Genomic DNA, 12185 nt, shown 5'->3' with positions numbered 1-12185 from the left:
CAAGTTGGAAAACACTCTGCAGCGTATTATCCAGGAGAACTTCCCCAATCTAGCAAGGCAGGCCAACATTCAGATTCAGGAAATACAGAGAACGCCACAAAGATACTCCTCGAGAAGAGCATCTCCAAGACACATAATTGTCAGATTCACCAAAGTTGAAATGAAGGAAAAAATGTTAAGGGCAGCCAGAGAGAAAGGTCGGGTTACCCACAAAGGGAAGCCCATCAGACTAACAGCGGATCTCTCGGCAGAAACTCTACAAGCCAGAAGATAGTGGGGGCCAATATTCAACATTCTTAAAGGAAAGAATTTTCAACCGCGAATTTCATATCCAGCCAAACTAAGCTTCATAAGTGAAGGAGAAATAAAATCCTTTACAGACAAGCAAATGCTGAGAGATTTTGTCACCACCAGGCCTGCCCTAAAAGAGCTCCTGAAGAAAGCACTAAATATGGAAAGGAACAACCGGTACCAGCCACTACAAAATCATGCCAAAATGTAAAGACCATCGAGGCTAGGAAGAAACTGCATCAACTAACGAGCAAAATAACCAGCTAAAATCATAATGACAGGATCAAATTCACACATAACAATATTAAACTTAAATGTAAATGGACTAAATGCTCCAATTAAAAGACACAGACTGGCAAATTGGATAAAGAGTCAAGACCCATCAGTGTGCTGTATTCAGGAAACCCATCTCATGTGCAGAGACACACATAGGCTCAAAATAAAAGGATGGAGGAAGATCTACCAAGCCAATGGAAAACAAAAAAAGGCAGGGGTTGCAATCCTAGTCTCTGATAAAACAGACTTTAAACCAACAAAGATCAAAAGAGACAAAGAAGGCCATTACATAATGGTAAAGGGATCCATTCAACAAGAAGAGCTAACTATCCTAAATATATATGCACCCAATACAGGACCACCCAGATTCATAAAGCAAGTCCTGAGTGACCTACAAAGAGAATTAGACTCCCACACAATAATAATGGGAGACTTTAACACCCCACTGTCAACATTAGACAGATCAACGAGACAGAAAGTTGACAAAGATACCCAGGAATTGAACTCAGCTCTGCACCAAGCGGACCTAATAGACATCTACAGAACTCTCCACCCCAAATCAACAGAATATACATTTTTTTCAGCACCACACCACACCTATTCCAAAATTGACCACATAGTTGGAAGTAAAGCTCTCCTCAACAAATGTAAAAGAACAGAAATTATAACAAACTGTCTCTCAGACCACAGTGCAATGAAACTAGACCTCAGGATTAAGAAACTCACTCAAAACCGCTCAACTACATGGAAACTGAACAACCTGCTCCTGAATGACTACTGGGTACATAACGAAATGAAGGCAGAAGTAAAGATGTTCTTTGAAACCAACAAGAACAAAGACACAACCTACCGGAATCTCTGGGACACATTCAAAACAATGTGTAGGGGGAAACTTATAGCACTAAATGCCCACAAGAGAAAGGAGGAAAGATCCAAAATTGACACCCTAACAGCACAATTAAAAGAACTAGAAAAGCAAGAGCAAACACATCCAAAAGCCAGCAGAAGGCAAGAAATAACTAAAATCAGAGCAGAACTGAAGGAAATAGAGACACAAAAAACCTTTCAAAAAATTAATGATCCAGGAGCTGGTTTTTTGAAGGGATCAACAGAATTGGTAGATCGCTAGCAAGACTAATAAAGAGGAAAAGAGAGAAGAATCAAATAGACGCAATAAAAAATGATAAAGGGGATATGACCACCAATCCCACAGAAATACAAACTACCATCAGAGAATACTACAAACACCTCTACACAAATAAACTAGAAAATCTAGAAGAAATGGATAAATTCCTGGACACATACACCCTCCCAAGACTAAACGAGGAAGAAGTTGAATCTCTGAATAGACCAATAACAGGCTCTGAAATTGTGGCAATAATCAATAGCTTACCAACCAAAAAGAGTTCAGGACCAGATGGATTCACAGCCAAATTCTACCAGAGGTACAAGGAGGAACTGGTACCATTCCTTCTGAAACTATTCCAATCAATAGAAAAAGAGGGAATCCTCCCTAACTCATCTGATGATGCCAGCATCATCCTGATATCAAAGCCTGGCAGAGACACAACCAAAAAAGAGAATTTCAGACCAGTATCCTTGATGAACATTGATGCAAAAATCCTCAACAAAATACTGGCAAACCGAATCCAGCAGCACATCAAAAAGCTTATCCACCACGATCAAGTGGGCTTCATCCCTGGGATGCAAGGCTGGTTCAATATACGCAAATGAATAAATGTAATCCAGCATATAAACAGAACCAAAGACAAAAACCACATGATTCTCTCAATAGATGCAGAAAAGGCCTTTGACAAAATTCAACAACCCTTCATGCTAAAAACTCTCAATAAATTAGGTATTCATGGGACATATCTCAAAATAATAAGAGCTATCTATGACAAACCCACAGCCAATATCATACTGAATGAGCAAAAACTGGAAGCATTCCCTTTGAAAACTGGCACAAGACAGGGATGCCCTCTCTCACCACTCCTATTCAACATAGTGTTGGAAGTTCTGGCCAGGGCAATTAGGCAGGAGAAGGAAATAAAGGGTATTCAATTCGGAAAAGAGGAAGTCAAATTGTCCCTGTTTGCAGATGACAAGATTGTATATCTAGAAAACCCCATCATCTCAGCCCAAAATCTCCTTAAGCTGATAAGCAACTTCAGCAAAGTCTCAGGATACAAAATCAATGTACAAAAATCACAAGCATTCTTATACACCAATAATAGACAAACAGAGAGCCAAATCATGAGTGAACTCCCATTCACAATTGCTTCAAAAAGAATAAAATACCTAGGAATCCAACTTACAAGGGACGTGAAGGACCTCTTCAAGGAGAACTACAAACCACTGCTCAATGAAATAAAAGAGGATACAAACAAATGGAAGAACATTCCATGCTCATGGGTAGGAAGAATCAATATTGTGAAAATGGCCATACTGCCCAAGGTAATTTATAGATTCAATGCCATCCCCATCAAGCTACCAATGACTTTCTTCACAGAATTGGAAAAAACTACTTTAAAGTTCATATGGCACCAAAAAAGAGCCCACGTCGCCAAGTCAATCCTAAGCCAAAAGAACAAAGCTGGAGGCATCACACTACCTGACTTCAAACTATACTACAAGGCTACAGTAACCAAAACAGCATGGTACTGGTACCAAAACAGAGATATAGATCAATGGAACAGAACAGAGCCCTCAGAAATAACGCCACATATCTAAAACTATCTGATCTTTGACAAACCTGAGAAAAACAAGCAATGGGGAAAGGATTCCCTATTTAATAAATGGTCCTGGGAAAACTGGCTAGCCATATGTAGAAAGCTGAAACTGGATCCCTTCCTTACACCTTATACAAAAATTAATTCAAGATGGATTAAAGACTTAAACATTAGACCTAAAACCATAAAAACCCTAGAAGAAAACCTAGGCAATACCATTCAGGACATAGGCATGGGCAAGTACTTCATGTCTAAAACACCAAAAGCAATGGAAGCCAGAATTGACAAATGGGATCTAATTAAACTAAAGAGCTTCTGCACAGCAGAAGAAACTACCATCAGAGTGAACAGGCAACCCACAACATGGGAGAAAATTTTCACAACCTACTCATCTGACAAAGGGCTAATATCCAGAATCTACAATGAACTCAAAGAAATTTACAAGAAAAAAACAAACAACCCCATCAAAAAGTGGGTGAAGGACATGAACAGACACTTCTCAAAAGAAGACATTTTTGCAGCCAAAAAACACATGAAAAAATGCTCACCATCACTGGCCATCAGAGAAATGCAAATCAAAACCACAATGAGATAGCATCTCACACCAGTTAGAATGGCAATCATTCAAAAGTCAGGAAACTACAGGTGCTGGAGAGGATGTGGAGAAATAGGAACACTTTTACACTGTTGGTGGGACTGTAAACTAGTTCAACCATTGTGGAAGTCAGTGTGGCGATTCCTCAGGGATCTAGAACTAGAAATACTATTTGACCCAGTCATCCCATTACTGAGTATATACCCAAAGGACTATAAATCATGCTGCTATAAAGACACATGCACACGTATGTTTATTGCGGCATTATTCACAATAGCAAAGACTTGGAACCAAGTCAAATGTCCAACAATGATAGACTGGATTAAGAAAATGTGGCACATATACTCCTTGGAATACTATGCAGCCATAAAAAATGATGAGTTCATGTCCTTTGTAGGGACATGGATGAAATTGGAAATCATCATTCTCAGTAAACTATTGCAAGAACAAAAAACCAAACACAGCATATTCTCACTCATAGGTGGTAATTGAATAATGAGAACACATGGACACAAGAAGGGGAACATCACACTCTGGGGACTGTTGTGGGGTTGGTTGGGGGGAGGGATAGCTTTAGCAGATATACCTAATGCTAAATGACGAGGTAGTGGGTGCAGCACACCAGCATGGCATATTTATACATATGTAACTAACCTGCACATTGTGCACATGTACCCTAAACTTAAAGTATAATAATAATAAGAAAGTAATGGCTTTATGCATTTTAAGCAAATGGAAATGTATAGATTTCTTTCATTACACATTTTTCACACTCTCCACATATTTTCATATATTATACTTCAGATCAAGGCAGAATTAGCTTTGGGTATAGAAGACTTAATGAAACAATTTAAAAATTGTATTTCCTCACTGTGTTTAGCATTTTGCCATGACATGGCGTATGTGTTTATAACCTTATTTCTTCCAAGACAGTAGGGAATAATCATTTTCATTGTATAAAGCACTGTGAATTTACAGTGGCTACTCTCTCCAAGTTATTATATATTTAACTGAAAAATTTTGAATGTGTGCAGAGTTCTTCACATTTTATGTTAAGGATATGTGTTCCTTTCTAGTATTCAAGGAGTAGTTGGGTGAAATAAAAGACTAGTATCTGTTTTTGCTACTTGTGGGCCATAGGAAAAAATTACTAAAAGTTCATATATTATATATTAAGATTGTTTATAGAATATTTATTTTAGCTTATCAAAATGTATTGGTTATAAGTTACTTGTATCTACAGGCACACAATTATTTTAAGAGAAAGCTGTTCTTAACATATTTTATTTATTTTCATCTTCTATTTATATGCCCATTTTAACGTTGTGTGAAATGAGAGTCAGCTGGTGAAGATCATTTTGATGTGATTTTGACATAAAAGCATTCTTTGCCCTAAAATAAATGCTATGATGATAATGTTAATGAGTTTGGAGTCCGATAGAATTGCAAGGAAAATATTAGAAAGAAAAAAACAACAGTATTATTACTATTAATTTTGTAATTACCTTCCAGTTATTTCACCATTAAAACATTTTTTACTTTCTTTTAAAAATTAGCATGTCTATTTGAAATGGAAATTTCAAAATCAAGTCCTATAATGCTATTGTGTTGTAATAGTAGAGGTAAGCAGAGCTTTAAAAGATGCATCTGTATTAAAAGAAAAAATATTTCTGTTGTTCTCCAAAGTTACTCTTAGAAGAAAGGAAGCATTGAGAGTAAGGAACAAATGCCAATGATGACAACCCAAACACTATGTGAGTAACATGCAAACTTTTATTTCTGGATGACAGTCACTCAGTGTTACAGGTAGCTGCAGCATTGGATACTTCCTTAGAATCATTTAAAGATACTATTTAAAGGTTATGTTGCAGAGGTAGAGAAAAACAGGGAGAATGGAAGAAAGCAGATTAGACTGAAACTGTGTGTTTTCTCAGAGGCCATCATGGTGTTAGTTAGAAGCTAAACCACCTACAAAATAAGACCAAAGAGGAATGACATCACAATGTTGTGGCAGGAGGGAGTCTTCATGGGTGTGAGCAAGAATCAAGTAGTGTCAGTTTTCATTTCCAAGGCCTGTAGAGCTAATTAGAGAGAGAAATTTGTGATTATGTTACATGTACCATTCCACATTTTCATGCATTTTTCTGGGTCATTTACTTGAGGAGAGATTTCAGCAAAAACCAATGTATCTTGTTTCATTTAGGATGCCAAGATAGTGTGACATTTTTGCAGTTGAGATAGTATTGGTAGACTAACAAATTCAATACTTGATAAATATCATTTTCTCAGCCAAACAGATTTAATAATTGAATATCGCAAAGTCCATTTCCAATAAAAAAGAGACAAAAAAGTACAACCATAGTGGATAGTGAGTATTCAAGTTTTAAGAAATGACAATCACTTAAGCCAATTAGAATTTCACAATATTCAATTAAAAAAAAGGACTGTCAAATAGATATACATTTCAGCAGAACAAACAATAGCATATTTTAAAATACAAGGTTTACATTCAAAACATTAAGTATCAATGATACTGTAATAATGTTATTCAAAACAATCTTTTTCAGATGACTGGAATACAACACATATATAAATTAAATATATTTAGATCTCATAGGATATATGGAAGAAAATAGAATTGGAAATAATCTAATATAGTTTTCTTATTGTCTCAATGAATAAACTGAAGCCAAAATTTGATAAGCATGTTTTATAAAGCCTCATTCAAATTATTCAGAAAAAAAAATGAGTAAGAGTGTAATGGATGAAGATTTATACAATTAGAATCATTTTTTTTCTCAGAGTTATTAGTCAAGAAATTATGGCTATCATTGCATAATGAGTTACTATTATTAAATAATATTAAATAATTAAATAATTAATTTTGGCAGAGTCAGAACAAAGATTCTAGACATCTGACCTTAACACTTTGCTCTTTATATATTATGCTGCAGCAATTATTTAATGTTTCTTTCAACATGAGAAAATTGAATATGTTATAGCTCTCAATTTAATACTTACATGTCAAGATAAACATAACATTTTGTGAGTATATTGAAGATAACCTATTTATCACTATATATCTGTATATGTTTACTATAAAAACAGACGTGTGTGTACAAACATTGTAAAAACTATGGATCTCTTTATTATAACAACTATTCTTTAAGGTTGCTAGTTTTGATATGTAAACAAATATTTATTCAATAGGTAAATGTCACTGTGTGACTTTTTCTATTCATTTCACAAATCACCTTATGATATTTTTCTATTAGGAAGATAATATTTGAATGTGATGAATGTTAGTGCAACTAGGTGGATTAATAACTCATTATGCAATGATAGATATAATTTCTTGACTAATATTCTTGCTGAGGAAAAATGATTCTAATTGTATAAATCTTCATCCATTATACTCTTACTCATTTTTTTCTGGTTAATTTGAATGAGGATTTATAAAACATGCTTATCAAATTTTGTTAGAATATATTTCAAGATGATAGTCCTTTTTAAATATCAGAAACAGAATCGAGAAATACCATAGAGAAAGAATAAAATAGATTTGATAAGATAAATTTTAACATACATAAAAGTAAGACTTTCTGCCTAGAAAAAATCAAACTGAATAAATATCAGTACCAGAATTTATACAGGAATTCTCATATTTTAGTCCATCATTAATTATATCAATATGGGGCATGTAAGTGACTTACTATAATGTCAGGGCAATTTCCAGGTTTTTGCTAAGTAATTAATTCACAGATCAGTAGAAGGAAGTTGCAGAACACTAAGTGATATGTACCAATAAAAATAGTTTTTCAACATTGGCATTGAAATTCAATTTAATATTATATAATAAAATATTATTCACAATTTCCATCAGCTTTTTGCTGATCAATATCTTTGTACCATCTTATATATAAATTTCCAAGCAATGGATTTTGTCTTCTCCTATCCACCATCTTTAAGAGATGTAGAGAAAACTAGTTAATCACAAAAACTTTCTCCAGCTTCCCCCAAATCCCTTATCAGTTGTTTGCCTTCCTGAGAGAGGAAACAGAGATGACCTTCAATTACAACTTTCCTTTCACATTTGAGAAGTGGGTATCATCTGTCATTTACAGAGATTTTATAAAGTAGCACACATGCAAAGCCCTCATGCCATATAACGATTTATAAAGACAAAGAGTCTCTCACATTTTTGTTCCATTACTATACAAATTACCTAATTGCAAGTGGAGAGCCCAAGGCTTATTTTGCTGTATTCTCCCTGTAATGTAAATTGAGATAAATTATACTTATCCTGGTTCTTTTTTAATGAACTCACTGTATTATGGTTAGCTCCTGGCACCAAATTAAAAAAAAAAAACCTCAATAAATAAAAGAACACATAGAAGTGATTATGATGAGATAGAGCATATGTCAAAATAATGTGACCTTGAAAAAAACATATAGGAAAGTTTTATCTAAGTTTGTTATGGTAGCTGCCTTCAAATGTGTTTTTGTACAACTTTAAAAGTGGAATTAGTAAAATTAGGATATATAGTTATAAAGTTAGGTGGAATAAAACAGAGCTCCCTAAAATGGAAGGCTGTGTAACAGTGTATGTTGTAGACGACATAGGTATTGTCAGGATTTGAAAAATTCTGCATAAAAAAGGGTTTATGCAGACATTTGATAGTCATTTGTAAGATGATGATTCTTTAGGAATTAATGTGCCTTAGCTTTAAGCCTAAAGTTTCTACAATTCTACAAGTGGCTTCCTTATTACTGCTTTTCACTCAGCATCATAGGGTGCTGAATGGGATGGATAGATATTTATTTAATGCAAAATTATAATTCTTATATCTATTAAGAGATAAATATAGCCATCTGTGAAAGCAGAAATGATTATAACATGAAAATTGTAAATGAAAAATCCTACGCTGTTCTGTTCCAGTTACAAATGAGTCCCTCTTATATGTTTCTTATTATCACGTGTATGTATTGATATTAGTGTGTGCATACATGCAGCAGGGAAGGGGTGCGCAAAATATTGCCTTATGAGTCGTAAAACCACCACTCTGGAATCCATTCTATACGTGAAGATTTTTTTCTTTATGATATTCTGCCTTTTCATTTAAACTCAACCCATGTGTTCATTCTATACTTTAGAAATTCCCTCTTTGAAATGTTCAATAATTTCTTGTCCTACCTATTCTTACACTGTCCATATATTTGTAGGCTTTTATCGTCTTACCTTTTAGTTATCTTTTTGGACAGTTATAGAGACTTCTTTTATTAAAATCTTTTTTTCACAAGTCAAAACCTATATTCTCCTAATCATTTCGGTTATACTTCTCTAAACTTCTTTTACAACTTTCTTATGTACAGTGTTTTAGTTCTGAGATGTTTAAAACCAAGCCTTTGGTAATAGTATAAAAGAGTGTGTCACAAATGTGGTTTTGAGACTCTCTACATTGAGAAATGAAGAGTTCCAGTTTTTCTCTGCTATACTGCTATATGGAGCATGAAAGACCTCAGTTTCTTAAAAAAAACCCTTGTTTAGAGGGAGAATTTACAATAAGGTATATATTGATATATCTATAGATTATATCTATATATATAATATATCTTACTGTATAAAGTCATTTTGCTATAGATAGATAGATTAGATAGAGAGAGTGAAATGACTTTCTGGCACTCAGCTGGTTATTTTGAAAAGGTATCTGGGTTTTCTTTAGGCTCATCCGCATGATTACTTGTAAAATTCTGCAGTAAATTCCTATAATTTTATATTACCTTAGCATCTATTTTCAATACTTTATTTTTAATTGGAACATAATAATTTTACATATTTATGGAGTACGTCGTGGTGTTTTGGTACATATATAGTGATCAGATCAGGATAATCAGCGTATCTATTATCTCAAACATTTATAATTCATGTTGGGAACATTCAATGTACTTCTTCTGGATATTTGAAACTATGTATTATTGGTAACTGTAGTCATCTTACAGTGTTATAGAACACTAGAATTTATTCCTCCTGTCTAGTTGTAATTTTGTATCCTTTAGCAAATCTCTCCCTTTCTTCTTCTTCCTACCCTTTTTAGCCTCTGGTAGCCTCTGCTCTAGTTTTTATTTCCATGAGATAAGCTTATTTTTAATCTGGCTTCAAAATTCAGTGAGAACGTGTTGTGTTCAACTTTCTGTTCCTAGCTTATTTTACTTAGTATAATGTTAACCAGTTCCATCTATCTAGGAATGATAAGATTTCATCCTTTTCATAGCTGAATAGCAGTTCATTGTTTGTGTGTGTGTGTCTGTGTGTGTGTGTGTGTGTGTGTATGTATATGCATGCCAGATTTTCTCTATTCATTTATCTGTTATTGGACACTTAGGTTGATTTATATCTTAGCTATTGTGAATAATTCTGCAATAAACATGGGGGTGCAGATGTCTCTTCAATATACTGATTTCTTTTCATTTGGATAAATGCCCAAGAGTAACACTGCTGGGTCATATGTTAGTTCTATTTGCAGTTTTCTGAGGGAACTCATATTCATAGTGGCTGTACTAGTTTACATTTCCACCAGCAGTGTAAAAGAGTTACTTTTTCTCTGCATCCTCAGAAGCATTTATTTTTTTTTTGTCTTATCTATACCAGTCATCTTAATTTGTGTGAGAAGATATGTCATTGTGGTCTTGATTTGCATTCCATGATAATTAGTGAGGTTAAGCATTTTAAAATTCATTTATTGGTCATTTGTATGTCCTTCTTTGAGAAATGTCTGTTCGGATCATTTGCCCATTTTTTAAATTCGATTTTTTTTTTTTTTTTTTTTTTTGCTGTTGAGATGTTTGAGTTTTTATATATTCTGGATGCTAATCCCCTATAGCATGAACAGTTTGTAAATATTTTCTGCCATTCTGGTGGTTGCTTTTCACTCTGTTAATTGTTTCTTTTGCTGTGCAAAAGCTTTTTAGTTTGATATAATCCCAATTGTTTATTTTTGCTTTTGTTGACTATGCTTTTGGGGTCTTATTTATAAAATCTTTCCCCAAGTGAGTGTCCTGAAGCATTTTCCCTATGTTTTCTTTTAGTTGTTTTATAGTTTCAGGTCTTACATTAGGTCATTAATTCATTTTGAGTTTTTTTTTTCTTTTCTATGAGGTGAGAGATGGGTATTTAGTTTTATTCTTCTGTGTATGGATATTCAGTTTTCCCAGCAAAATTTATTGAAGAGACTGTCATTCCCCTGATGAATGCTCTTAGCACCTTTGTCAAAAATGCATTGCCTGTAGAGGCATGAATTAATTTCTGAGTTCTTTATTCTGTTCCATTGGTCTATGTGTCTATTTTCATGCCAGTACCATGCTGTTTTGGTTACTATCGCTTTGTAATATCTTTTGAAATGTGGTAGTGTGATGCCTCCAGCTTTGTTTTTTTTTAAATTAGGATTGCTTTCCCCATATGGGTTTTTTCATGGTTCCTACAAATTTCAGAATATTTCTTCAATTTCATTAAAGAATGTTATTGGTATGTTGATAGAAATTGCATTGAATCCATAGATTTCTTTGGGCAGTATGCTCATCTTCTTAATTCTTCTGATTCATGAGCATGGGGTATGTTTCCATTTGTTTGTATCCCCTTCAATTGTTATTTTGCAGTTTTTCTTGTAGGGGTCTTTCATCTATTTGGTTAAATTTATTCCTAACTATTTTTCATAGGTATTGTAAATGAAGTGGACTTCGTGGTTTCTTTATCCACCAATAAATTAAAAGAAAACTTACAGGAAATGGACACAGCCCTGGATAAATGCAACTACTAAGATTCAACCAAGAAGTAAAAATCCTGAACACACCAATACAACTAATGGATTTAATCAGTAATAAAAAGTCTCTCACCAAGAAACAGCCCAGGACTAAATAGTTTCACTGCTGAATTCTACTTAACTCTTAAAGAAGAATTAATATTACCTCTTCTAAAACTATTCCAAAACACTGAAGCAGAGAGAATTCTTTCTAACTCATTCTGTGAGGTCAACATAACCATGATTCCAAAACTAGATAAAAACACCACCAAAAAAGGAAAACTACAGGCCAACATCCCTAATAAACATACAGGCAAAAATTCTCAACAAAATATTACCAAACTGAATCCAACAGCATATCAAAAAGATAATACATCATGATTAAGTGGGATTTATCCCAGGGTTGTAAGGATGTTTCAACATATGCAAATAAGTAAATGTGATACATCACATCAACCAGATGAAGGACAAAAAGTATATGATCATTTCAACAGG

General features: G+C 33.9%; 1 long non-coding RNA gene across 1 annotated transcript in view; it reads left to right on the top strand.

The window, feature by feature from the left end:
* FAM174A-DT (FAM174A divergent transcript) overlaps positions 1–11791 on the top strand; it is an 84330-nt gene extending 72539 nt beyond the window's left edge. Inside the window, exons 4-5 of the long non-coding RNA NR_172939.1 lie at positions 5581–5648; positions 11608–11791. This is a non-coding gene — a long non-coding RNA (FAM174A divergent transcript). The remainder of the gene's footprint in view (positions 1–5580; positions 5649–11607) is intronic.
* Positions 11792–12185: the final 394 nt, after the last annotated feature.

This window comes from Homo sapiens, chromosome 5, assembly GCF_000001405.40.
Source record: "Homo sapiens chromosome 5, GRCh38.p14 Primary Assembly".
NCBI lineage: Eukaryota > Metazoa > Chordata > Mammalia > Primates > Hominidae > Homo > Homo sapiens.
This window is presented reverse-complemented; position numbering and strand designations above follow the sequence as displayed.